This window comes from Homo sapiens, chromosome 10 (assembly GCF_000001405.40).
Source record: "Homo sapiens chromosome 10, GRCh38.p14 Primary Assembly".
NCBI lineage: Eukaryota > Metazoa > Chordata > Mammalia > Primates > Hominidae > Homo > Homo sapiens.
In genome coordinates this window covers 84,193,055-84,219,796 of record NC_000010.11, presented here as the reverse complement: position 1 = coordinate 84,219,796, position 26,742 = coordinate 84,193,055, and the positions used below count along the sequence as shown (strand labels likewise).

Below are 26,742 nucleotides of genomic sequence, written 5' to 3'. Positions count from 1 at the left end.
ATTCTCATGATAGTGAGTAAGTTCTCAAAAGATCTGATGGTTTTATAAGGGGCTTCCCCCTTCACTCAGCTCTCATTCTTCTCTCTCCTGTCGCCATGTGAAGAAGGACATGTTTGCTTCCCCTTCCACCCTGAGTCCTCCCCAGTCATGCAGAACTGTGAGTCAATTAAACCTGTTTCCTCTATAAATTACCCAGTCTCGGGTATCTTTATTAGCAGCATGAGAACGAACTAATACAGTGGTCTACGGATCTTGAGGGTGTCACCATCATGAAATAGCCTGGGCTACCATGAAGGTGAGAGTGGATGTTCAGACCTTCAAGCCAAGCAAAAGAAGCTTGGTGGTGCACATGAGACAGAGGGGTCAGGATGAGAGAAGGGCTGTGGAAGAGCAGCAAGCAGTGCAGGGGAGAGCCAGGAGCATGTTGGTGGGTAGGGAAGTATTCAGTTGCTTCTGTAAACATAGAAATTTAGGGAGAGGGAAAATGGTCTAGGGAGGATTTCTGAGAATCTGATACTTTTTAAGATGCTTGGGCTGCCCCTTGAAAAACTCTAGAGTACAGATTCACATTACTCAGATTGAATAAGGCAATTTCGCAGTGGGGATGCAAGAACAGACCCTGGCTGGAATGTGGTTTCTTGGGCTTAAATTTTGGTTTTCTTACTGACTTTGTTGTACCAGGGAAGTTACTATTTTTCATGTACCTTAGTCTTCTCACCTATAAAATAGAATAATAATAGTACATTAGTGTTCTCACCTGTAAAATGGGGATAATAACAGTCCTTACCTCATAGGGTTATTCTGGTAATTATACGAGGCTTTTTTTTTAACATACAAAGTTCTCAGAACAATACCTGGCACATAGTAAACCCTCAGTAAATGTCACAATAATAAATGTTACCATCATTTCAGGCATCTACATCAGTTTGTGCTTTCTTTGAATGTGACTCAGCACATAGGGCCATTTGGAATATCACATCTTATTAAGACTACATATGTGTGTATACTTATAAATATATATATGTAATAACATGATATCTGGGCTAATATCCTTCACATGTTCTGTTTAATTCATGTTGAAAAGATGCTACAGTTTCCGATATAGTTGTCATGCCCTTGAGAAGCTTATTTATTTAGAGTTTAGACCATACAAGTTTAAGGCAAATGCCTTTGATTGAGGAGACATTTGTAAGCAGGGCTACTTGCTTTTAAAATGAAGACTCCCTAGGCCCAGGCGATTAGCAATTAAAGAGAGGAATGTTGTTCTTTTTCTTTTCTTCTTTCCTTCTATCTTGTTAGAGACATACACCTAACACCTAGAAGAGAGCCTGGCACAGAAGATATACTCCAAACTTGTCACCCTAGGAATGGCTGAGTAAATTATTGAGAAATGAATAAATAACCGAACCTCATTCAGGCCTCAAAAGGGGTACATGTGCACGATTTTATAACATCAAACCGATGTCCCCAACATCAGCCTGTTGCTACTCTGCTTTATTGATCAAATGATGGTCGCTTAAGCCATGACCGCCTCATTCTGGAAACTAGGCCCTTCAGAGAACCCCTCCCTAGGTTGTTTGTGAGTTTCCTAAGGGGTCCTCCATGTGGCACATGCCAGTCTCCTGCCTCATTCCTCATGTGGCATCTTCTCCATTCTCCCTCTCCATCCCTTGGTGGCCAAGGCCTTGAAGACTGTCAGGATGTGCCACTGCCTGTCAACAGATGCCAACACCCCTGGCAGGTGGACTGGCCTTGGATTCCCTCAACGCCTTCAGTCCCTAAAAATAGAATCACCGAAATCCTTAGAGAAGCAGAGCATGGTGGCTCCTTCCCAGCTCTGATCACACTTTTCTAGCAGGATTCTGAGGGACAGCTGCTTGAGGACAGAGTGCCACAAGTTCTTAGAGACCTCTCATTGTTCCTAACTCCCCTGGAATGTCAACGCCCAAATGCAGGCTGCCGGCTACACAGGCCACAGATGCTGTGGCATCTGCCCTGTCCTCCACTCCCCTCTGGATCCACTCTCTTCTCTTTTTCTAGCATGAAGTAAAAGCTTCTGGACCTACAGGTGGGTGGAAACATCCTGGGGGGTGAGGATGCATGGAGGGGGTCCTCTCTTTCAGGACATGGTGTTCTAGTATGTGGGCCACAGTCACGGCAAGTGTCTACTGAGCTTGTGTAAGTAGATACAAAGCCGGTGCTAGGCACTTTACATATATTAGATCTTTTCATCCTCTCTGCAACCATACTTTGCACCCTGTGTTAATGAGGAAAGTGAGGCCCAGAGAGACTTGACCTCTTGCCCAAAGTCACAATTAATGGCAGAACCAGAATTCAGACCTAGGGCTGTCAAACTGTAAAGGACTTTGTTATTTCACGTGATTGGAAGATCTGAGCTCAGCCGCAGGAGGAAAATGACTCTGCAGAGTATTTGGTGTCACATCCATTTATTGTCCATGAGGCTACAGCTCCATTCTCAGGGCCAGGAATGGGCAAGCCTGCCCAGTGTGCCATTCCTGCCTCCCAGCTCTTTCCCTGGAGGCCTACCATGGTGCCAGCCTGGAGCTCTGCCTGTCCTACTGGGACCTAGCAGACAGCCCCTTGGCCCACCATTCGTAACACAGGGACTTGGCTGGCCTCACCCCACTGGCGGGGTCTCCTCCAGTGCTGACAACACTTGCCGGTGCCTTAAGTTTGGCTGCACCCTCCTCCTCTTTCCTAGTGTGGCTCATGCTGGCTACCGGGCACTTCCCCATCCATGGCCAGTTTGCAAGATTGGCTCTGCCTTGGTCCAAGTTCCTGGGGTTGTCCAAGAGACCACCCTCGGTCCCGGATCCACTTGCAAGCCCAAGCTTCCAGCCTAGAGGTCTTTAGGACGCCTGTCTGAGAGACGACAGTGCTTCCCAAGCTTTCATGCCCACCCTAGGCCTCCCAATTCCTGCCCTTGCCGGGCTGCACTGGTAGGGTGGGAGAGTGGGCAATTAATTCTAGCTCCAGGTTCCATTCCTCTCCATGCAGCCCTGCCTGGGCTTGTCCTGTTTGGGAGAAAAGTCCAGTAGACAAGGCCTGCAAATGTCCTGCTGTTCAAGATATCTGCATGGCAATTTGGACAAAAATTTTCAGCCTTCTTTAGAGTCACATCTGGGGGTCGAAGAATGGATCCACCTGCTGAAGCAGCCAGGAGGCAAGTTGAGCTTCACTGTGTGTCAGAAAGACTGGTCTCCACAGGTCAGCAAACATAAATGAAAGCAGGGAGCAGGGGATCAGCATGGCCTTTGGGTAACAGACTTTATTTTCCATTTACAAAAGAGGTTGATTGCATGCAAGCTGTAAGGATGCTGTATTCCCTGTGGAGGGCAAGCATGATCCAGCACAGTCCTCTCCTGAAACACAGGCTGGAAAGTACTTATTTGCTCAGTCTGGGCTCCTGGATTGCTCGAGTCCACCTCTTGCTTAATACTGTTCACGTTGGGGACTGTAGAAACCCCAGCAAGGATTCTGCACACTGGCACATCTCAGTAACACCTCCAAACACAGACTCAGAAATCAGGAAAGCCACAAATGCATACAATCTCTTTAAATGAAATCACCAATGTATTCTAGAGGGGTTGTTAGTAAGTAGAGCCAAATGCAAAGAACTGTTCTACTTTTCTCTCTCTGTGCACACATGTAGATTTCCTGATAGCAGGTTCCTTAAAGCAGGGCACAACCTATTTGTATTAACCCCAGAGGCCTTGTATGACTTCTGTCCTGGGGAAGGTTGTCACAAGCTGATAAGGGCTGCCCTGGCTAGACAAGATCTTTGCTACCAACCTGCTGTGTGGCCTCAAGCAAAGCATTCCCTCCTTGAGAACTCATTTTCTTCATCTTGGCAAATTAAAGACTTGGAGCTCTGGTTCTCTCTGACGGTAGCTGGCCAGGACGGTAGCGGGGATGGAGTGAGGGAAGAACAGAAGTAGAGGTGTGTGAGTCACGGCAATGCCATCATCCAGTGGTAGCCCCTAAGCCCAGCACAGTGCCTGCTGGGGCGCTTGGCAGAGTAGATGTGAGGCTCCTAATACTTTCTGGAAGAGCTGCACCCACAGAACTGGGCTGCAGAAAAATACTTTGCATTCATGCCGCTTTGCACTTGGTTAAAGCCCTCATCACCACTATTTTCTTCAATCCTCACCCTAGACCTGCATGTGAGGTAGACAGGGCCTACTTTCTTCATTTACAGATGAGGAAGAGGATGATCAGCGACTTTAAACAGCTTTCCCAAGGTTACGCGATGTGAGCAAAAGAGCTGGATAAAAACGGAAGTCTCACCACATCTCAGCCCTGATATTCATCAACTGCCCTGAATTGTCTCTTCAAGGATGGCTGGTGGGGCAGCTCCTCAGAGAGCAGCCCTGATGCTCTTCTAGTTGCCTTTAGGGCTACCTCTATAGCTCCAGCTTTGACATTTTGCGGCTCAGGGCAGTCCTGGCTGGAGACATCTGCCCTCACTCTTGGCAAGATCAATCTTCCACCTCTGTGTCCTCTGTCCCACGTGGGCATACCAGGGTCCACAGTCTCTGCCCAGACAGAATGCTCTATCTTTCCAAATGCATCCTGGCACAGTCCCACAGTCAGTGTGTTTTCTGTGCATCCTTGCTCTCCCCTTACCTACATTTGCTTTCCTACAGCCCACGAGGTTCGCTGACCTCCAGCCTGAGACAGTGCTGAGCCTCCTTTTCCTGCTCCTGCTCTCAGCTGCAGGCGTCAGGATCCAGATTCTAGTCAGTGTTGCTCCACGTGGCCAGGGCCCTGCTGCTTGACTAAGGATGATGATGAGATCCCAGTAGAACCTGAGGGACTGTGAGGTCTGGGATGGGTGAGCTGGCTTCTCGTCAATTCTCAGCCCTGAAGAATGGAGGGCATTGTAGTAGTGCCAAGGATTTGAGTAACGGGGACGTATTTGCCAATTGCATCCTAGAGCCCAATGTCTTGCCCAAGGCCCTGACTAGAGCCCTGTCAGAGCGCAACTTCTTGTTGCGCCAGAAGGTGGCGGTAGAGATGAGGACAGTGGGGATTATACCATTGTGCAAAACAGGGGTCAGTGACCTTAAGGAGCAGAGGAAGGGGAGCATAGTCCGAGCAGCAGGGTGGTGGGGGTCAGGGGCGGAGGAAAGATGGGGGGTCATAGGGCATACACTAGAAGTAAGCCTTGTTGTGCACACTCTTCTTCTCAAACTTTTGCTTGAGCTCAGAGATCAGAGTTGACTGGACGGGGCTTCCCATAGTTTTGGGTTTTGGCGGGGGTTGGGTCGGCTGCGGAGTGAGAGAGCCAGAGACAGTAGGCACGGTCCACTGGGCTGCGCCAGTGCTGGGCGCCACGCTGGGTGGTGGAGGGAGAGCCGGAGCTCTCGGGAGCAGAGAGCTTTCTGGGCTGTTGTTGTTACAGTTCTCATTGGGAGGTTTCTCTTTGAGCATGAACTTGGTAGCGGCTTTGGTGCTCTTGGACTTGAGCCACTCAATGCGGATGGTGCGGGGCGCAGGGCTGGGCCGCTTGCGGAGCACCCGCCGCATTGGCAGGACCTTGTTAGACTTCTTGTTGCGCCAGAAGGTGGCGGTGGAGATGAGGACAGTGATGGCCACGACGGTGGCCATGGTGCCGGCCAGCACACCCACGGCCTTCATGGGGTTGTCCTTGGTCTGTATCAGGAAGGCAGCCATGGGGCTCCGGGAGAGGGTCTGAAAGAGAAAGCCACTCCCTGCACTCAGCTGTTCCCACCTGGTCCCTGGAGTACAGAGTAGGTATGTGCTTCCTTAAGCCTAATGGTTTTTAAACTTTCTGGAGTCAGGAGTCCCTTTGAGAATCTGATAGGCACTATGGGCTTTTGTCCAGGAAAATGCACACAGAGAGAGCATGATGCATGCAGTTCTCCAGAAAAATGCACGCAGACCCAGCATGGTGCAGACCACTCTCTGGTACAATATGCTCAGACAGAACGCAATGCGAGCAACCTCTTTTGGATTCAGAACTCCTGCTTTAGCTGGAGTCTGTCCTTGAGATGGTAGGAGATCACTTGCCTTTGATTGTGGCAAGTGGGGGAGGGGGTCCATCTGCCCAGATGTATCAGGAGTCTCTTAAGTGACTAGTTTTCTGCCAGACACTGAGCTGAGAGCTACACATAATGACTTCACTCTGCTTTTCAACACCCGTGTGAAGGAGGCATCCTTATCCCATCTTACAGGAAAGGTAACAGAGGCTTAGCAAAGCCCAAAGTCACACCATTAATAAGTATTGAACTAGAAACTCAACCCGCTTCCAAAGACTGTGTGTTTGATGGCACAGGCTGCCTTTGATAACGTTGAGTGTCTTTTGGAGGAAGCCTGGAGATGGTCCTTCTCGCTCTGCCCACGTTGCAGAGAGGTCTGAGCTGGCCTGCTGACCCCTTTTTCCTGACCATGGCTTTGTACTCACCTCAGCATCTGTGATGTCAATCTTGAGTAAGGCTGTGGTGCTGAAGGATGGGGAGCCCCGGTCCTTGGCCTGCACCTCTAGGGACCATAGGCAGTCCCTTCCAGGTGTGATGTTGTGCAGGGCATCCAGGGAGCGGATGGAATTCTTGAGCCAGATCTCCCCCGTGTGGGAATTGATGTCGAACACGTTGGCGGGCTCTGCATGGGTGATGGAATAGTCCACCAGGTTGTTGGGTTCCTCTGCATCCTCGTCTATGGCCTGTGCGCAGGGAGAGACAGACAGAGCTGGGCTTTGGGGACAATCCTTGTGTACTCTGGCTAAATCAGCACGTCATATGGGGCTTGCTGGGTTGATGGGAAATGGTCCTGATCCTATTTTGAGAGGATTGAGTTGGGAAAGGAACAGAATGCATGCTCTCCTATAAGCCAGGGTTTACGTAGGTCTTACACATGGGCTAGCCGATTCCATTATCAGAACAAGTCTAGGAAGCAAATATTGGTGAATCCATATTACAGATGCAGAAATGAAAGCTTAGATGCAAAGTGGCTTTCCCATGGATGCAGAGGTATAAGAAAGGGAGTCAGGATTCAAAGTCAAGTCTGCTGGGTTTCAGAGTTCATCCTTTTTGCCACATTGGCAAAATGACAAAGTGCGGTGAGAAAACCACTCTTTTGAAAAGCAGGCAGACCAGCTATGTGAAGGCAAGCCAAACACTTAACCCACCTGGCCTGTTTTTTTCATTTGTTGAATAGCAATATCTTCTTTCTCAGAGTTTAATTCTCTGTTGAGGTGGGGATGGGGATATACAAAATGTCTTAAAGTCCTTTGTCCATGGTGGGAAGCCAAAAAATTTTATCTTCAATGAAATTCTTATGCCTCAGTATCTCTTGGAGCTGCTGGACCCAGGCTTTTAGGGGAGCTCAGCTGCCTCCAAAACTTACCTCAATTTTCACTGGGGTCCCTAGCACCATCGTCTTCTTCTGAACGCTCTTTCCAAACTGAGGGGGGTGGTCATTGACATCCAGCAGTGTGATAAACACCTCAGCTACGCTGTACTTGCCTTCCATGTCCTCTGCCTTCACATAGAAGTTGTACCTGGCAGTGGCCTCAGCGTCCAGGCTAGCCCAGGGCTGGGTGTAGATAAGCCCAGTGGATGGGTGGATCAGGAAGCTGCCAGGCAGAGCACATAGGCATGGGTGTGCACGCATATACACATATGTGCATACATACACATGCCTGCAATAATGAGCTGCCTCCTGAAGCAGGAGTGAGGTGTCATGCAGCTCCTCCAAAGTGTCCTACCTGCTCCCTCCTATCCTTGCAATCTAAGTGAGGTAGATCCACATGTGGACTCACCCATCTATCACTATCCAGCTTAGCAACTCCAGTTATAGTCTTTCTCTCTTCCTATGGCCTGCCCCCTCCCCAGCCAGCCCTGCTTGCCTGGCTCCTGAGGTCCTGGGCCCTGAACTTCCTCACCCTCTGCTTCAGCTTTCCACTGCCTCTCTCCACTTCTCTTCACCCAGGCTCCTGTCCCTCCCAGGCCCCTCCTGCCTCTGCCACAGACCTCCTCCACCCTCAGCCTTCCAATCCCCTTGCCCAAGGCCCTGTCCTGGATTCTGGATCTACTTACAGGTCTGCCCCAGTCCCATAGGTGGAATATTTCACTTCGCCCCAGGGTCCTGTATCTGGATCCACAGCCTGGAAGAGAAAGAGCCCTGGGTGGCACGTGCCTCTTTGTCAGGGTATGTTGGCAGCTCCCATGCCCTGAGGGTTGCTTTCAACCACAAAGCAAGGGGATTTGGGGTTTGCCCAACTGGGGAGAAATTGGTGGAGAGACCTGCCCGGGATCCCTAGTTTTCCTCCAAGAAGTTTTAAGTATTGAAAGAGCCAAGAGATTTAGATCTGGAAAACACTCATCCCTCCTTTATAAATGAGGAAGAGGGGATGGGTCCCATGCCCTGTGATTGTTGTTTACACATATATCCTCATTACTGTCCTGTGAGGTGTTGTAATACCCATCATATGGATGAAGAAACTGAGGCTAAGAGAGGGCAAGTAGCTTGTCCAAGGACAGCTAATGAGTGTGGGTTCTGCCACTCAAACTGCAATGACCTTCCAGATTTGTCTGGCTTCACAAGGCCTCCTATCCCACCCAGTCCCTGGGCCAGTGCCCAACCCACTGTGACAGCCACCACGCTGGAGCCCCCTGGGGCGTTCTCAGGAATCCTGGCAACGTAGTAGAGGGAGTCGAACTTGGGGACATTGTCATTGGTGTCCAGGAGCTGGATCACAACATCCGCTGTGGAACTGAACTTCTCTGGGGTGTTCACTTCAACAGCCAGGAGCTGGGAAGGGGGGAAAATGGGGACTTGTCTGGGTAGGCACTCATGCTGCAGAGAGCCTTCCCACCTCATCTCCCCAGGACTGATGTGGCATCCATCTGCCGTGTCTCCCGATCTTCCTCGCAGCTGCCAACCAGCTATTCCTGTAAGGGTCACCTCTAAGGCCTGGCATCTTCCCCTACCCCGTCAATTGGCTTGTAATGCTAGCTTTCTTATCATTCCCATCTGTATTGGGGTCAGTTTATTTTGTTCCACTGAGCTGCATATCCTTTCCAGTTCCAATTGTCTTAACTATTCTTATAAGTTTATTAGCCCATATAAAAACCAGTTTAATTTTGTCAAGCCTTGTTGCCACCTGTCCAAAGGACATTCTAGGGAAGAGTTAATTGGGGGCATTAAATTCTTTTTTTAAAAAAATAAAAACAAACAAAAAAATAGGTCAGGCGCAGTGGCTCACACCTGTAATCCTAACACTTTGGGAGGCCAAGGCGGGTGGATCACCTGAGGTCGGGAGTTCGAGACCAGCCTGGCCAACATGGTGAAACCCCCATTTCTACTAAAAATACAAAAATTAGCCGGGTGTGATGATGTGTGTCTGTAATCCCAGCTACTCGGGAGGCTGAGGCACGAGAATCACTTAAACCTGGGAGGCAGAGTTTTCAGTGAGCCAATATTGTGCCACTGCACTCCAACCTGGGGGAAAGAGTGAGACTCTTGTCTCAAAACAAACAAATGAACAAAACCAAAAAACAAAAAAAACAAAAACAAAAACAAAAAAAACAAAAAAAACGAGTCTTGGCTCTATTTCCAGGCAGGAGTGCAGTGGTACTATCTCAGCTCACTGCAACGTCTGCCTCCCAGGCTCAAGCCATCCTCCCATCTCAGCCTTCCAAGTAGCTGAGACTACAGGCGTGCACCACAATGCCTGGCTAATTTTTGTAGTTTTTGTAAAGATGGGCTTTTGCCGTGTTGCCCAGGCTGATCTCAAACTCTTGGGCTCAAGCGATCTGTCCCCCTCGGCCTCCCAAAGTGCTGGAATTACAGGTGTGAGCCACCACGCCCAACCAAATTCTTTATTAACTTAAGGAGAGTTTGAACTTTTTAAACAAGGTATGCCTTTACATCTCTTTCTTTATGTCTCTTTGTGAAATTTAGCATTTTTCATCATTTGCATGATACATATTTCTTATGGTAATTCCTACAAATTTTATGTGTTGGTTGTTATTGTAAAAGATAATTTTTATCCCATATTTTCTTATTATTTTTTGTATGTAGGAAAACTACTGGATTTTGTGCATTAACTTTGTAATCAGCCATGTTGGCAATTTTGCTGAGTTTCTAAGAGTTTCTTTTTTTTTTTTTTTGTCTTTTCTCTCAGATTCTCTAAGCAAACAATCATCACCTGCAAATAATGACTGTCTTTTTTCCTCCTTTCTAAAGTTTGAACTTCTTACTTCCTTTCCTTATCCAGGAACAATGTTATTTCAGGAATTGTGTTAAATAGTAGTGGTGATAGCAGGCATCCATGCTTTGTTCCTAATTTCATGGATTGCTTTTATAATAGTATTTCACTTTTAAGCATGATGCAGGCTATAGGAGAGTATGTGTATATGTGTATAATTATAAATAAGATAATTTTAATAGTGTCAGTGAAGTATTTACTTTTCCTATTAACATATTATATATGTTCATATATGATATGCATTTTATAATACATTTATGATTTTACATAATTACAAATGATATCACAGAAGTATTTTTTTCCTCTTCAGCTAAGATTGTTATCAGAAGAGATGACAAATGTCAAGGCATATGATAAAACATCTATCTTGATAATAAAATAGTTTACTCAATCTATTAACATGGCAAATTATATTGGTAGTTTTCCTTTGATCCCACACCACCACCTGCATTCCTGGGGCTGGTTGTGGTGTGGAAGCCAGGAAGCTCAGTGAGGCTGGATCTGTGAGCAATCTGCAGGAGGGGCAGAGGGCTGGAGAAGAAAAGAGTAGGGCCAGGAAGGGCAGAGAGTGACAAGAGACCCCTCAGGAATGAACCAAGATGCTGGTATGAATTCCTGGGACCCTCCCATTCAGGGCAGTGAATTCAGGGCACCACCTACCTTGAAGGTTAATACTTTGGACTTTTCAAAGTCAATGGCAGCTGAGTTCTCCACAATGATTGTGACTTGGGCTTCATTCAGGACTGTCTGTGGAACCACTCGGAAGATGCCCCTGGGTCCCACCAGCTGCAAGTTGAATTTGGCATTGGCTCCCTAGAGAATTTGGAGAGTGGAAACAAGGAAGATGAATGATGATAGAAATTCATAATCATACTATATAGAAGTCTTCACGTGCCCTTAACCCTGGGAGATATTATTAAGAGAGTTTCTGCATCTGACTTTTCCTTGTGAATGGACTGTGAGTGCCTTTAGGCTAAGCAGATAGTCTTTGATTGGTTACTCTCCCTCCTCTCCCCCTTGGTTACAACTTCTTGTTTCATTCATTTTGTGGCCCACCTGGTCCCGGCTACATACGCAGAGCAGGTTGATGCAGACCCACTTAGCTTTGGGACCTTGGCTTCATACCGTTTGTGAGAAGGCAGAGCGGAGGGCAGGACCACACACCTGGTCGGAGTCATTGACGGTGATCTTGAGGCCCCGCAGGATCTCTCCCTGGGGTGGGTGCTCATTCATGGACAGCTCAAACCTGTTTTGGGGTCCGCTCTCTCCATAGAATGTTGGCGGGTGGTTGTTGAGGTCCACAATCCTGATGGTGACTGGGACGGTGGCCTGGGCAGCTGGGCTCCCCGCAGGGCTCATTTCAGTCACCTGGGATGGGGACAAGTGGCTATGGCTGTGTGGCAGGTGGACCCTTCATATGGTCCAGCTCCTACCTCCCCTGCAGAATGTATAATCCCCTCCGTTTGAGTGTGTCCTGGCTTAGCAACTTGGTTCTAACTGATAATATATGGCAAAGATGGCAAGCTATCACTTCATGATTACATGACAAGAGATTGTAACGTCTGTCTTGTGAACTCTCTCTCTTGCCGATTTTGATGAAGCAGGAAGCTACAGTTAACAGAGACTAATGGTGACCTCTAGCCAACAGCCAGCAAGGAGCTGAACCTCTTAGTCCAACAGCTCACAGAGAACTGAGTCTTGCCAATAATTGGGTGGGCATGGAAACCAACCCTTTCCCAGTCAAGCCTGCAGATGAGACCCCAGTCCTGGCTGACAATCTGATTGCAACCATGTGAGGGACCTGGAGACCGAAGACCCAGCCAAGCTGAGCCTGGAGTCCTGAACCACAGAAACTATGAGATATGAATGTGTATTGTTTTAAGCCACTAAGTTTGGGGTAATTAGTTATGCAGCTGATAACTAATACAGCCTACAAAGCCAGGGCAAAGATCCCATAGGTACCTTGTGAACCATGTGGCAGATATCCTATGAACCTCTTCAAGACCACCTTTCCCTTGTTCTGTAAGCATGCTCTGGTCTTTTGTATCCTAAAATAACCCTACCTGGACTCCACTCCTTGACACTTTCACTGCTATCCCTCTTGATTCTCATCCCACCCCTCATTCAGATTCTTCACCCTGACTTCCACACTGTATGTGGCACTGCTACTCTTTCTCCTTCCCAAGTGCTCTATTCCCACAGCAATGTGACTCTGCTCTCTACATCTTCTCCTCAACCTCTCTGATCCCTCCTGGGTTTCCTTTACCTGCCCCTCTCCTCCTCCTCACTCTCAGCCTCTTCACACAGCTCCCGCAGCTGTGCTTGGCCAATTGTCCTCTCTCTTCTTCTTCCTCTGGGTGCTTTTATTCCCTCCCATGCCTTCCACAGCTACCTGTAGGTTGACATTCTCTCCCACAATTCCAAACCTGTATGCCCAAGTTTTGATGTTTGAACTTGCATGTCCCTCGAGCCTTCAAATGCATCCTTCCTCACCTACTTCACTTGCCTGCTGTCCTGTACTCCTGACGGCACGGGACCACCTGGGCTTCATCTATCCCTCTCCCATCCCTTTCCCTCAAGATCAGGCAATTTCCTCATTCTGTGCAATCTGCCTCATGCATACTTTTCATTTTGTCCCTTTCTTCCATCCCACCTACCCTCAGCCCCACAGGCTGTCTTCCTCTGTTACTTTGGCCGATGGCTCTACCTCTCATCTAGTTCCCTCTGAACCCAAGTTGAGACCAGAGTTCTCAAATTCTGGCTGGGACTGGTACCAGAATTACCTGGGTGCTTATAATACGCAGATTCCTGGGTTTGCCCCAAACACACTGAATTCCTATGCCCGGGAGTGGATCCTGAAAATCTTGGTTGGCCCAAATCTCCAAATTTGGGAACTCCACTGGTCTGGTGAGCAGCCAGGTGAACTTTTCAAGTGGCTGTAATCCTGCTGAAAACCTTCCAATGGCTCCTTACTGCTCTTGGGTAGGACCAGCTACATAATTTGCAGGCCCAGCGAAAAATAAAAATATGGGATCCCTTGGTGAAATTATTAAGAATTCCAAGACAGCAAACAGCGAGCATTAAGCTTAGTGTGGGATCCTCCTAAGTATAGTCCTTGTGTGACTTCACAGGTCACATGCCCGGCTCTAGCGACAGATCCATACCTCCCATTCAGGACCTTTGCTCCTCTGGCCCCAGCCTGGGAGTCCAACGTTTCCTCCTTCTCCAGGCTGCCCATCTTTCTCTGCTCTGGCCTCAACTGACTCCTTGTTGTTCCCCCAATATATCAGTTCTCTCCCCTCCAGCCTGGGCTTGCTGCACTTTCCTGTCTTGGAATGCTTTCACTCCACCCCCACCCACCCAATGCCCGCCTCTGGCAGCATGCACCTGCAGGATCCCACCCATGCTCAGGCATTGCTGCTTCAGTTGCACCTCCTCTTGCCTTTCTGTGACTCCCTGTTTGTGAATTCATGTCTGGTGCAGGTGCTCTTTAGAACAACATCTAGCCCCCTCCCCAGACTATGGGCCCCAGGAAAAAGGGCCTGGGTGTCTTCACCTTTATAGACTTCCAGGGCCAAAGGTGGGCAGGGAAGACAAAGCTAGAGGGAGGGTACCTGTACATGCAGCTCATACACCTCTCTCTGGAGCTGGGCCGGGCTCTGAGTGATGGAGATGGCTCCAGATGTCTCATTAATTTCAAAGGCTCCATCGTTCCCTGTCAAGGGAGATGCACCCTGAAGTTCTGCACAGGACCACAGGGAGGCGCAGGGGAGTCGTGCCACAGGATCGTCCTGCATTGCCTAGGGAAGTCTTCATAGAATGGAATCCTGTCATCTGTGTCTTGTCAACATGGAAACAGTCTCAGAGGGGCTAAGTAACTTGTCTAAGGCTACACAGTTAGTGCAGATCTGGGACTTGAACTCACTTCTGTCCAGCTCCCACATTCCATACTGTGTCCCTTTTCTTATGCATAATACTATATGTGCATGTGTGCACGTGTGTGTGTGTGTGTGTGTGTGTGTGTGTGAAGAAAAGAGAAAGGAAGCAGGAGGACATACAGTGAGAGACGGACATGGAAGGGGAGGGGGGAAAGAAGGGACAGGAGGGAGGGAATAAAGAGAGGAGAGGGAGGGTGTGGAGTGGGACAGGCAGGAGATGGGGTGGGTGCTCAAGGACTGGGTAAAGGTTTGCAGTGGTGATGGGAAGGAAGGCAGCTGAGGTCCTGTGAGGCTGGGGAAAGGAGGCTGGCAGCCCACATGTGAGCTGCTGGAAAGTGAGTATGCACAGGCATGTCCTAGAGAAAGGCCGGGGCATATAGACATGCACACTTCTGGTACCAGGCACCAGATGCGATGCCCTGGCCTGGCCCAGGGACAGCTCATCTGGCTCAGTTGCTGCCCAGCTGTGGGAAGAGCACAGACTGTGGAGCTAGCAGGCTCAGGTTCAAATACAATGATGGAAACTTGGGATGCCTACTCAGCTTCTCTGAACTTCAGTTTTCTTGTCCATATATAGGGCTAGCACTAGGGAGATGCCATATCACCAATGCATTTGATTCATTTAATTCATCTATATGCTGTGGGATAACAATTAAAAAGAATGAGGAAAATACATAGCCACTTAAAAAGTGTGAGAAATGTTGCCACGCATTCCCATCAAGGAGCAAATACCCAGGGGGAGAGGAGCATGGGTTAGCACCTCCGTGTTGCTCTCAGCGCCCCTGCCCCATGCTCTCTTGGCTGTTGGATATCATGACAGGCAGGGACCGAAGCACACAACCCAGAGACTTGCTTGTCTTGGACACAGCCCTTCCTCTCCATACATCTTGTAATCCTGGTCCTACAGGTGAGGGAGCTGGAATCTAGAGAGGTTGAGGAACCTTGCTCTGGTCACCTAGAGAGTCAAAGCTGCAGCCCCCAAAGCTGCTCAGACTCACCATTTACAAGGCTGTAGAGAATTCGATTGGGTTTGCCCCGGTCTCCATCCATGGCGACCACCTTCAGTACCTCCGAGCCCTCGGGGAAACAGGAACAGCCGCTGCCTGATGGGCAATATGGGGACCCTCCCCTCCCCAAACAATGTCTCCATGATGAAAAGGAGGTGCTACCCCCACCTAGGAAAGGGTCAGGCCTCTACGTGGCGGTGGAGCATGGCCCTACTCTCCTCTGCAGGGGGATCGAAGCACCCACTGGCCTCCAGGGCTGGAGGGATAGCCTGAGCCCCTGCTTCTTTCTCACCAGTAGGGGTCAGTACCTGTGCTGCCCAGGGATTCTCAGGCCTCTTGCACCAACTCCTGGCCCACACACCACACTCAGCCCTTGCCTCTACTGCTCCCTAACCTCTAGCCTTACTTTCACTGCCCTCTCCATCTTTTGCTTTCATCCCACCCCAGAGGTGCATGAAGGAAGAGGTGGGAGAGAGGCCAGGCCTCAAATGCGAGGTCCCAGAATTAAGATTTTATCCTGTGGGCCTTTGGTGCTGCTGGAAGGGTTTGGGCGTAGGGCTGCCCCAACTATATAAGTCTTGCTTGACTTCTGCCTGTTGTCCCCTCTTAAGCCCCCCTACACAAGCCTTTCTCTCTGGTCAACTCCAGGCTACTTCTTAACCCAGCCCAGGTGCTGCCTCTTCCCTTGGAGCCTACCCTGAGCCCTGTCCCTCAGCACCACCTCCTCCCCTTAGCTCCTCAGTGGGATGGCCTGGGCCTACGCTGGCCCACCCTGCAGCCCCCATCCAGAGCAGTCCGGCATCTCTCTCCCTCACTCTGAGCCCGTCTCCACCACTGGGTCCTCAAAAAGTGTTTCATTTTGCTTTGTAAAGTCAATAATAGGCCGGGCGCGGTGGCTCACACCTGTAATCTCAGCACTTTCGGAGGCCAAGGCGGGTGGATCACCTGAGGTCAGGAGTTCCAGAACAGCCTGGCCAACATGGTGAAACCCCTTCTCCACTAAAAATACAAAAAATTAGCTGAGCATGGTGGTGTGCACCTGTAGTCCCAACTACTCAGGAAGCTGAGGCAGGAGAATTGCCTGAACCCAGGAGGTAGAGGTTGCAGTGAGCCCAGATCGCACCATTGCACTCCAGCCTGGCGACAAAGCGAGACTCCGTTTCCAAAAAAAAAAAGTCAAGAATAATCAGACAAACGCAAATTGAGAAAGCAATTCAATTGCACAGAGTTCTTAAGCTGTAGCCTAGCGAGGCCTGGCTCCAGCCTGGTCTCTGCCCATGGGGAGCTCATGGTCTAGTTGGGGGCAAAAGGGCCAGTTCATGGCCTGAGGCTGGGTGAGTCCAGAGCTGGCCTCTGTGTGAGGAGGGCAACCGGGACCAGACCAGCCATCTCCAGCAGGGGGTCCCTAAAATCACAAGGGTCAGGGCAGGAGGCATTTGGAGGGATCGCTGGCTGAGGGGGACAGCCACCCACCGGAAGGGTGTCCTCGTACACATAGCCATAGTAGGGTGTGCCCACGAAGACAGGGGCCATGTCCTGAACATCCTCCACATTGACCGTGACCGTGGTGGTGGCTGAGAACACCACATCAGCCCCATGAAGCCTCCCACCGCCATCCTGCAGAAGAATCGGAGGCCACAGGAGAGTGAAGACAAGTTGAGATGTGGAATTGGACAGAATCCGTGAAAACCTGGCTTCTGCCACCTATGGCTGTGAGGCCAGCTGTCCTCTCCAAGTTTCTGTTTGCTTCTGTGTCACCCGGAGATAATTCTTCTCTCACAGGAGTGTTGGGAATGTTAAAGTGCCACCATTCCTTTGCAAGTGGGGTTAGTTCTCTCTTCAGAGAAATCATATCAGATGAGTGGCAGGAGAGGGGGCATTCAGAGCTAAATTCCCCCTCCCAGCCAGAAACCAAGCCTCAAGCACCTCCTGAGGATCTACTCTGTGCTTGGCCTGTGCTGAGTGTCAGGGACCCACAACAGCAGGACTTGGGCCCCGCACTGAGCATCATAATGGAGATGTGCAACCAGCCCAGCCCGTGCAGCTATGGGCAGGCGAGGCTGACTCGGGCCTCCTGGTACAGGCTGCAGTGGGATGGCCTGTAAGCCAGGCTGTGACCAGCAGGGGCTTGCCTGCAAAAGAAAGTGCTGGGCCTAGAGGGGCTGCTAGGGTTTTGCGCTCTTTGTGGGGGAAGAAGCTTTGGTGGGCACCTGCTGGTTTCCAATGTTTCCCACACCACACACTTCAGAAATATGAGGAACTTAGTTGAGCTTCAGGGGTGGGCAGATGAGGAAACTGAGGCTCAGAAGGGGTGATTGGGCACACAGAGAGGAGGAGGTGGGTGAGCAAGCCTGGCCAGCGAGAGGGAGGTGCCCAGAGGCCATGCTGTTGAGGATCTGAGGGGGATGCCATTCTCTTGGCCATCCCACCTGGTCTTACCTGGGGGATCCTGGCCCATTAGTTTCGAGGAGGCATATGCCCTCCCACAGCCCACAGACCCCAGCCTCCCTGGAGAATATGTCCAGGCAGGAAAAATTCCGAGCAGCTGCTCCCTATTTCCCCACGCCCATCATGTCTCCTGCTCTCCAAACTGCTCCCACTCCCCTGTAGAACCTAACTTGGTTCCAACCCAAGGGCTGAGGAGACACTGGATGCTCCCCTGTCCTGCTGTGTTACCTTGGCGACCACGGTGATGTAGTGGGTCCGGGACCTCTCGTAGTCCAGAGTGGCCCCAGCCTGGAGGCGCAGCACACCGCTGTGGCGGTCCACGGCAAATGGGGAGTGCAGGTTCTATAAGAATTAGGGGGCAGCTGGACCTCAGCAAGAATGCAGGCCAGCCCCAGGAATGCCCGCTCTGCTTTCTGAAGGGGGTCCTCACTGCCCCTCATTACAGGACCTCAGGGCTGAGGTTCCTACTTCAGAGCACTCAGCTTTTCTGGTCCCAGGTTCTCCTTCATAGGACTTGGGGCTTTCCCTCCCACACCCTCAGTGAAAAACACAAGGTTCCCTTTTGGGCCTTTGTTTTTCCTCCTGCTCAGCTGGAAAGCAAATTTTCTTGGGCTCAGCTTTGGGCTTAGCTCTGGCCTGGAGGGTCCAGCAGATGGCAATGTCTGCGGAGTAATCTAACCCAGAGGGAGCCAGGGGTTAAAAGTCACAGTGAAGGAGAGAAACGTTGGGACCTTCAAACCCTACACCAAGCAAGTGACTGCGGGCCAGTCCCAGGCAGCCTGGCATCGGGGGAGAGGGTGTGCAGCCTGAAGGAGGCAGGCAGGGAGCACCGGCCTCTGGTAGGGTCCCTGGGGGCCCTTCTGGCTGGGTAGTGTCAGGCGCTTGTGCCAGGTGCTGTTATTGGGGACTTTACACATATGTAGTTTTCAGAACAATGGAACAAGGATGTGTTTTTATCACTCCCATGTGATACATGAGGAAACTGAGCTGGGAAAGTTAGATAACGCGCTGAAGGTCACGGGAGTGGTGAGGGGTGGGGTTTCTCCAGCACCCGTGCAGTCCAGGGGACTTCTGGGCCTGTGTTGTTAGGGGAATCAGAGCTCTGCTTCTTTTGAGTGTTGTCTCTTCTGCTCTTTTTTCTATTGACCATTCTGGGCCTACACGGGGTTCTCCACCCATGTGGCAGCCCCTGGGGAAAGGGCTGGGGATGTGGAGGGCTGAGGGTCCTGGGGACGTTGGAAGAGGGAGGGGACAGGCTGACTTAGAGGACGCCAGGATGGGCCCATCAGGGGAAGAAGGCTTCTGTCCCTCTCACATCCCCTCCTGCCCATCCCAACCCTTCATGTACTTCTCGGGAATCATAGAGGCACCGACCTAAGGGCCTGGGGCGATGGAGGTAGGGGCCATCTAGGTGTCCCCTCCGGCCCAGCCCCAGGTTAGGTCCTGTGTGTCCTGCCTTACCTGCAGGAAGTAGGTGACACTCCCTCCAGAGCCTGTGTCCCTGTCCACTGCATGGACCTTAAAGATGATGCTCCCAGCAGGTATGTCCTGAGGGGGTCACAGCCACAGGGGAGGGTCAGAGACAGTGACAGCATTCTCAGGGGGACAGAGGCATAGGGGCATGCAGCAGTGGGGTCGGGGAGTGAAGTGTCAAAAAGAGGTGAACAATTGAGGATAAAATGTGTGAGCACCCAGTGGGGGCTGGGCCCAGAGAGGGTGCAGGAAAGAGGGAAAGGGAAATTGGAGCAAAAAGACGTGGTGAGGGGCTGGGGGATGTGCTCAAGGAGAGAGGGAGAAGAAAAAAACCAAGACCCCAAACAGATAAAAGGTCTACCTATGAAACAGCAATTCAAAAAGGAGGAGATGGCTCATAACCACAGACATATTTAGGATCACCAGGGACCATATACCTACATTTTAGAGCAAGAATGAGACATCTTTTTCCTAGTGACTTAGCAAACTTTTTTTTTTTTTTTTTGAGATGGAGCTTCGCCCTTGTTATCCAGGTTGGAGTGCAATGGCGTGATCTTGGCTCACTGCAACCTCTGCCTCCTGGGTTCAAGCGATTCTCCTGCCTCAGCCTCTCGAGTAGCTTGGATTACAAGTGCCCACCACCATGCCAGGCTAATTTTGTATTTTTAGTAGAGACTGTTTCACCATGTTGGTCAGGCTGGTCTCGAACTCCTGACCTCAGGTGATCTGTCCATCTCGGCCTCCCAAAGTGCTGGGATTACAGGTGTGAGCCACCGTGCCCAGCCTGAATTAGCAAACATTTTAAACTTTGAGAATTCAGTATTGTCAAGGGGCAGAGGAGAAAAATCCTCCCATTGCAGGAGGGAGCAAACAGGTGCCTTCTGGAAAAGCAATCTGGCAACACCCTGTGGGCATGTGTGCTTTTGATGCAGTAATTTCAAATCCTGAACTGTATCTTAAGGAAAGAATCCTAATTAATGAAAAACAAATTGATGCTCAGAAGTTGATGTGTCTCATGATAGCAAAATTTAGAGCACCTTAAATATCCAAACATCAGGCAATGATTCTGTAAATGATAGACTGTTCACTTATGGAAGCTATTAAAATGATAGTTACCCAAACTTTACAATTAATGAGGAAAATGCTTATGTTATAACTTAAGTGCAAATAGGATATAGGAAGCATATGTTTAGTATAATCACAACTATGCCAAACAAACAGAAAAAAACAAAACAAAACTCTATAATGACAAAAAGGACTAGAAGGAAATACACCAAAATTTAACAATGTCTCAAGTTGGAGACAGCGAGGGTGATTTTGAAAACTCTAGTTTCTCTTACTTTTCTACACATTTCACAATTCTACACTGAACATGTATAATGGAAAAAAGCAAATGAACATTCCTTTGGAATAAAAGCGAATGTTGGAGGGAGCAGGTGGTGACAGAGAGGTTCTCCACAGGGCAGTGAGCCATGGCCAGGCCACAGGGCAGCCCCAGGGGTAGGCTATGGGCCTGGGTGGGAAAATCAGCCCCTCTAGCAGCTCCTCACTTACCTCGGGAACCAGGGCAACATAAGGCTCCTGGATGAACCTGGGCGCCTCATCATTGGCATCGGTCACCAGGATCACGACTTTTTCGGCCACCTGAGAAGGGGCAGAGGGGTCAAGAGCCAGTGCAATGAGACCTTCTGAAGGATGAATGGATAGCGACCTCTATCACTCCAATGTACACGTCTCTGCCCATCCCTCCTCTCTCTCTCTCTCTCTCTCTCTTCCTTCTTTTATTCATTAATGCAATAAACATTAAGCAGCCTCTTAGTGCCAAACACTGTGTTTCATCCTGGAGGCAGAAGACTGTCTGATGATGTGTTATTTTGCAGTAGTCATGGTGGCTGGGATATCAGGGCAAAGATCAGCATATTAAAAAACACTTTATGATCTCCTCAAGGTGATAGCAGCAGTATGCCAGGCACTGAGGGCGGGGCCCCTGCACTGCACCAGCGCACACACATGGCCTGTGTAAATGCATCCGATGGGGTTGAGAGTTCCTGGGCTGTGGTGGTGGAGAGCAGGTGGGCTTCTTAGAGGAGTGAGAATTAATCCATGAGGCAGTTTGCCAGAAGGAAAGAGGTAGAAAGTTGTGCCAGGAAGAAGGGGTTGTATGTGCAAAGGCAAAGAGGAGTGAAATGCATGGTGAGCTGAGGATGAAAGTAGATTTATGGCTAGATTATGGCCTGGGTGGGGTGGATGTGAGAGAAAAGGCAGTGAGGCAGATGGTGCCCAACGAGGAGTCCTGGAACACCAGGCAGAAGCTTAATTTTCATCCCGCCAGTGGCGGAGGCCAGTTGTTAGTGCTTTCCCAGCCTCAGAGTGGGCAGATCTGACTGTTCCATAGTGACAACTTCAGAGGCAGTTGGGGTCGGAGAGCCTGGAGGCCAGTGAGCCCCTGGGGTTTGTTGAGTTATCCAGTGAGCACTGATGATCGCTGAGAGAAAGTGGTTGCTGTGGGGTGTTGAGCTCAGGTGACTGAGCAGGAGGGCAAGACCTGGGTGGGGGAAGCAGATGGGGAGGGCAAGTTTGAGGAGATGCTGTGGAATGTGGGTTAGACCCATTAGAAGCTCAGCTCAGAGAGCCTGATCTCTCCATTCCTTCTTTTCCTTCCTTCCCCCTGGCCTTGCTGCAGCCCTCTCCTGTGGGCACTTTGGGCAGGTCTTGCTGGGCCCTAGCTTAAACTTGCAGAAAAGCCCCCATGAAGGCTTGGGGAGGAATCGTGCCAGCCTCACCCTTCTCAGGCCCAAATACTGCAGGCTGCCAGGGACTGCCTTGGACGTGCACTCACCAGATTCAGGCCATCAGAAATGCTGATGATGGCTTCAATCTCATCTTCCCTCTGTGAAGCACAGGGACTGAGTGAGTGTCCAGGAGTCTGACACGCCATAGGACCCCTGTGGCTGGATGGAGCTCTCCCTGCCCCACGCACCCATCAGAGGAGGTCTGGGCGTGCCAATAGATCCCTGGAGCAGGGTAAGTGGTGGTGACAGCATGCCTGGCAGAGTAGAAAGCTGCCTCCCCCCATGCTTGAGACCTTATTTTGGGACTTTTGTGTCCGGGGTTCTTATAAACTCAGAGACCCAGAGGGTCTGTTGGGGCTCCAACAGAAAATACTCTCCTGCCACAGTGAGGCGAGATGTCGACCTTAGTGTGCTCAAGGTCCCATAAAGACTTTTCCTCTTTCTTTTCCCTTTTCTCCCCTTTTCTCTCCACACCTCTCCACATTCCAGGGCTCTGCAGAGGCTCACATCCATGGTGTCTCAGTGCTCCCAGGATATGGTGAGACCTCAATGGGGAAGGGTATCGGATGTTGCCAGATCCCGCGGGTGCCAGGGAGTGGGGTACTGGCAGCACAGTCAGGCTCCACTGCTGTGTCCCCACAGCAGTCCCTGAGACCTCCCTTTCCTTTCTCTACCCTGTCCTGCAGCTAGTGGAGGCTGTCACGAGCTGGCAGCATCCCCACAGCTGAGGTCCAGTTAGCCACACACCAGGCTGCTATGCGGTCTGAAAAAGCCCATGCCCTGTTGCCTGCAAGTTCTCAAGTGTGTAGAGTGGAGGAGCTCTGCCAAACTCAGACTCACTGCCAACCACCCTTTCCAGCCTTGACCTGCTCTGAGTTCCTGTGCCTCTCCCAGGACAGGCTTGAAAAATCACTTTGTGAGGTTTCTTTCAGAAACCTCAAAGTGCAAACGGATTTATTTTTAATGGAACATGCTTAAAAGATTAGCAGGGCTGGCAGGTGCTCGTTAAAGGAGCCCACTCTTCGCTCTGTGTGAAGGAGGAGCATGAAAGTAAAGCCCACTCTGCTGATGGGAAGTGGCCCAGAGATCTCACAGAGTGGATGTGCCTGGGGTGTGCCCCCTCATCCCCTACTCTGTGGAGAGGTTCTAACCAATGTGCTCCAGGGGAACTTCAGCCCACCGAGGTCTGTCTACAGGCAGTGGCCCCGCAGCACTCCCCACACCTCCCCATACCTCTCTGTCCAGCTCTTCAACCAGGGTGATGTTTCCAAAAGTGGGGTCAACAGAAAAGACGCTTCTAGTGCTGGGGTCAAAGCTGATGTGGTAGGAGATGGGGTCTCCCTCAGGGTCTGTCCCATTCAGGGTGTATACGTGAGAGCCTGGAAGGAAACACAGTGGAGAGACATAGAATCTGAGACCCAACTTTTCCTAAAAGTGGCAGATGCTCAGGACCAACGATTCAGCTGTTTATAAAGTGACTATTCAACTCAGTGCCAAAGGTACTGCCCTGAACTTGGTGCTCATTGCTGGCCTCACCCCTGCTGGCTGCTTCCCTCTTTGTATGTTTATTCTTCACAGCGGGTGGTTGTGATGATCAGCCACTTTCCAGATTGTAATCTATAACACGGGTTACAGAGCAGGTGCAGGTCTGCCGTGCCTAACTGTAGTGCCTATGTTCTGCTCAGCCTGGTAATAACTCCTCTCTCAGGATCCAAGATTGAGGGGCTCCTGGGTACAGGGAAGGGGAAATGGGAGCAGCCATTAAGGCAGGAGGGGTGACCCACAGTGCACCACTGTCCCCGATGCCTGGACCTGGTTCTGCAGGGATTTCTGAGCCAGGTGCCTACTTTGCTCTGCTCTCCCTTTTCCCCGGGTTCCCACTACCCACAAAGTGAGGGAGAAGGAGTGTGAAATCTCCCCTTTCTCCTCCCCTCTCTCTGCATATCTCAGCAAGTTGGATGTTCTTAGGCCGTTTTAAAGCCTAGAGACCTGGGGCTCAGGGAGGTAAATACATTTGTTCAAGGTCACACAGCCATAAGGGGCAGCTGTAGCTGCCTGCCTCGCGGGGCGACCCTGTCTGTGGGGGGGAGCCCTGGTCTCCAGGACTGGCCAGACTTAAGTCGCCATGGCAGCAATGACCTTCTTTCCTGCCATTGCCCAGGGGAATTCGGAGAGCAAACAAGGAGCCCCCGGGCGCGCGCAGCAACTTGGGTGGTGCCTGGGGCACTTTGTGTTCTAAGTCTGCCTGCACCCCTCAGGGAGACCTATCGGGAGCAGGTGCCAGGGCTACTCACCTACAGGGGTGTCCTCTGGGAGGCTGAACAGAGCCATGTTTCCGTTGGTGCTGCCGACCCCGTTGTCGAAGAAGTGCGGGGCGAAGTTGGCCTGAGCTGGAAAAAGAACACAGAACAGACGGACACCCAGGCAAAGGACACCCAGACACCAGGAGGGAGCTTCGCACCAGCGCGGTCCCGCGTCAGGCCCAGCTACTGGGCAGGAGGGCGCTCCGCCTCCCCAACCCAAGTGCACCGAGGGACCCCACTGGGGCGCCGCCCAGAGGATGCCCCTGACCCCCACTCCGCCCCCGGTGGGCTCGGGCTTGTCAGGGACACGTAGCATGTGGGCGCTTAGAACCCAGGTAGCAATCCAACCCCTCCTTCATCAATGGGCAGATTGCACCCGCGCTCGGAGAGGGGCAGTGCCCCAGCCCAGCCAAGGTCAAGCCGCGAGTCAGGGCACTATCTCCTGCCCCACGCAGCATCGGAGCTGCCACCAAGCCTACAGCTCTGGTTCCCAGCAAGCGGAGAGCAGCGGGGGTCCGGGCGCCAAACCCTGGGGCCCTAGGATGCCAGCTCTGGAGAAGCGCCCCGGAGCTCCCCACTACTCCGCTACCCCACTCCCCACTACCGAATGGGCCAGGAAGATGGAAGGACTTCTCCGCTCCCGTCCACCAGCCCGAGTCCCACTCTGGAAGTGGTCCAGGACCATGTCCCTCTGGCCACCTGGGTGACGCCAGCGCCCATCTCCCTCGCCATCCACGCGGCCAGCGCGGCCCAGCGGCCACTCACCCAAGCAGAGGCGCAGCAGCCCCAGGGCCAGGGCGGCCCACCGGCAGCGCCTCATGTCTCCGCCGGCGCGGAGTGTCGCCTGCCGCCGCCGAGACCGGGCGCAGGGGCACGGAGCATGCCCTGGGCCCGCGGGGAGGGCAGAGACCACAATGGGGGTAGCGGCGACTGCAGCCGCGGCGGGAGGGGGCACGGGGCGGGAGCGGCGGGTGGCGTGAGGGCGCTAAGAGGATGACACGGCTCGGATCTGCTCCTGCCGGCCGCCTGACGAGACCAATTAGCGGCGCAGAGCGGAGCGACAGGCTCCCAGCCGCGGGCGGGGGCAGGAGGGCGTGACAAGAGGACTCCCCGCCCGCCACGCCCCCTTTGCCGGCGGCCCCCAGTCCTGGACAGGAGGACACCATGGGGGACAGGAGTGTCTTTCCCCCAAGTTGTCCTGAGGCTTTCCCAGGGTACTTAAGTCCTGGTGGGGCTTGGGCTTCGCAGTTTTCTTTTCTCATCAACTTCCTCTGTGACTTTCAGGGGCTTAGCTGTCTTCTCTGAGCTAAGCATTCCAGAAGAAAAGTTAGTGGAGCGGCCGAGAGGGCCTTGCCTTAGCAGTCTAAGCAGGTTCTATAAGCCGCGTGAGACCAAAGGCAAAGAGAAAGGGTGATGGATGGGCAGCAGATGGTAAGGGGTTATCAGGACCCCCTCTCTGTGATCTCAACCCATTCCTGCCCTGTTCCCCAGGCTGGACCACCTCTCCCAAAGGGTCTGATCTGTGTGGTGGGCAGCAGGGAGGACCCTCAGGTGTCCACCAGGGTGAGAGGCAGTTCTGCTCCCCATTCCCAGTCAGTGCCCAGTCTGGGACCATGAAGGGGCAGCTGACCCACTCTTCAAACCTTCCAAGGAAGAGTGAAGGGCCTGAAGGCAGAGTTAAGCCCCATCTTAGGACAGACTTGCACAGAGCTGGCCAAGATAGATCTGAACTGCCCGAGAGGCACGAGATCTCATTCCTAGAGGGTATTTACACAAAGCAAGGCACTGCTATTGGGGTCCTGGATGCTGATAACTTGAAGACACAGGTAAGCCCAGGAACCTTTTTGGCTGCTGGTAAAGCTCCTTGGGCTTCCTCGTTCTCCTGCTCTGACACTGGAGGGTGCTTGGAAATGCAGCCTGTTTTCCTTTTCCTGGTTGGGCCATTTATGGGGGTACAGGTCACTTCAAGCCCAAGCCAGGCCACTTCCCAGGATGCCCTTGGGTGGATGTGTTCTCAGATAGAGGAGATCCCTCCTCTGTGTGCTCCTGGGAGAGGTCTCCACAGCTGAGGACTCAGCATTCCCCCCCTCCCCCTGCCAGGGGCCTTTGAGGGAACAGAGCACCCCCCATCCCTTGGTCTAGCCCTACATGATCTACTGTGAGCAAGGGTCAGGGATTTGCAGAGAAGAAGGAAGATGAATCAATGGTTTTAGAATGTGCAGCAGTTTTCAGGCCTAATTGGCCGAAACCCTTGTTGAGTCTCCTTAGGCTTGGCTCTTTTGCTGAAAAGACACACTTTAAATTGCACAGATGTTCTGAATCTGCCTCCCAAAGTGCTGGGACAAAGCTAAGGCAAGTATTCTGCAAGTCCCATATAGGGATGTGGAGACTGAGTCTTGCCGTGGATTTCCCAGGAGCCAGAGGCAGAGCCAAGGTTTCCTGGAGTAGATGTCTTGGTGGGCCGAGAAAAGCCAGCTCTCCCTGGGTCCTGTTAGCCCTGCTCCTCACCAATCTAGGGCCGTTGAT

The 26,742-nt window shown here is 51.5% G+C and overlaps 1 protein-coding gene across 7 annotated transcripts, besides 7 other annotated features; it reads right to left on the bottom strand.

The window, feature by feature from the left end:
- On the bottom strand, positions 176–25,260 carry CDHR1 (cadherin related family member 1). 7 transcript variants are annotated; one of them, NM_001171971.3, is made up of 17 exons: positions 24,982–25,260; positions 24,208–24,303; positions 23,147–23,292; positions 21,961–22,011; positions 20,676–20,765; positions 19,110–19,196; positions 17,877–17,990; positions 16,674–16,817; positions 15,192–15,270; positions 13,870–13,970; positions 11,420–11,623; positions 10,916–11,068; positions 8,632–8,796; positions 8,082–8,149; positions 7,390–7,618; positions 6,449–6,706; positions 176–718 (listed from the first exon to the last, which is right to left on the bottom strand). In NM_001171971.3, exons 1-17 carry the CDS (start codon positions 25,034–25,036, stop codon positions 521–523), a joined length of 2,238 nt encoding a protein of 745 aa, NP_001165442.1. In that variant the 5' UTR covers positions 25,037–25,260; the 3' UTR covers positions 176–520. The 7 variants fall into 7 exon arrangements, with proteins under 7 accessions (NP_001165442.1, XP_011538640.1, NP_149091.1 ...); NM_033100.4 differs by lacking the exon at positions 176–718 and adding an exon at positions 1,103–5,715; XM_011540338.2 differs by having other exon boundaries at positions 24,208–25,260.
- Positions 4,932–5,121: a silencer, noted in NCBI's record as "silent region_2552". NCBI's record gives its function as "represses an Ori minimal core promoter by ATAC-STARR-seq in GM12878 lymphoblastoid cells {active_cell/tissue: GM12878}" and the evidence as "EXISTENCE:reporter gene assay evidence [ECO:0000049][PMID:35858748]".
- Positions 4,932–5,538: a biological region, named in NCBI's record as "H3K4me1 hESC enhancer GRCh37_chr10:85974015-85974538".
- Positions 5,015–5,538: an enhancer, noted in NCBI's record as "H3K4me1 hESC enhancer chr10:85974015-85974538 (GRCh37/hg19 assembly coordinates)". NCBI's record gives its function as "activates a minimal SCP1, AML or CMV promoter by ChIP-STARR-seq in primed H9 embryonic stem cells {active_cell/tissue: H9 hESC(primed)}" and the evidence as "EXISTENCE:reporter gene assay evidence [ECO:0000049][PMID:30033119]".
- Positions 15,504–16,004: an enhancer, noted in NCBI's record as "H3K4me1 hESC enhancer chr10:85963549-85964049 (GRCh37/hg19 assembly coordinates)". NCBI's record gives its function as "activates a minimal SCP1, AML or CMV promoter by ChIP-STARR-seq in primed H9 embryonic stem cells {active_cell/tissue: H9 hESC(primed)}" and the evidence as "EXISTENCE:reporter gene assay evidence [ECO:0000049][PMID:30033119]".
- Positions 16,005–16,505: an enhancer, noted in NCBI's record as "H3K4me1 hESC enhancer chr10:85963048-85963548 (GRCh37/hg19 assembly coordinates)". NCBI's record gives its function as "activates a minimal SCP1, AML or CMV promoter by ChIP-STARR-seq in primed H9 embryonic stem cells {active_cell/tissue: H9 hESC(primed)}" and the evidence as "EXISTENCE:reporter gene assay evidence [ECO:0000049][PMID:30033119]".
- Positions 25,045–25,164: a silencer, noted in NCBI's record as "silent region_2551". NCBI's record gives its function as "represses an Ori minimal core promoter by ATAC-STARR-seq in GM12878 lymphoblastoid cells {active_cell/tissue: GM12878}" and the evidence as "EXISTENCE:reporter gene assay evidence [ECO:0000049][PMID:35858748]".
- Positions 25,235–25,364: a silencer, noted in NCBI's record as "silent region_2550". NCBI's record gives its function as "represses an Ori minimal core promoter by ATAC-STARR-seq in GM12878 lymphoblastoid cells {active_cell/tissue: GM12878}" and the evidence as "EXISTENCE:reporter gene assay evidence [ECO:0000049][PMID:35858748]".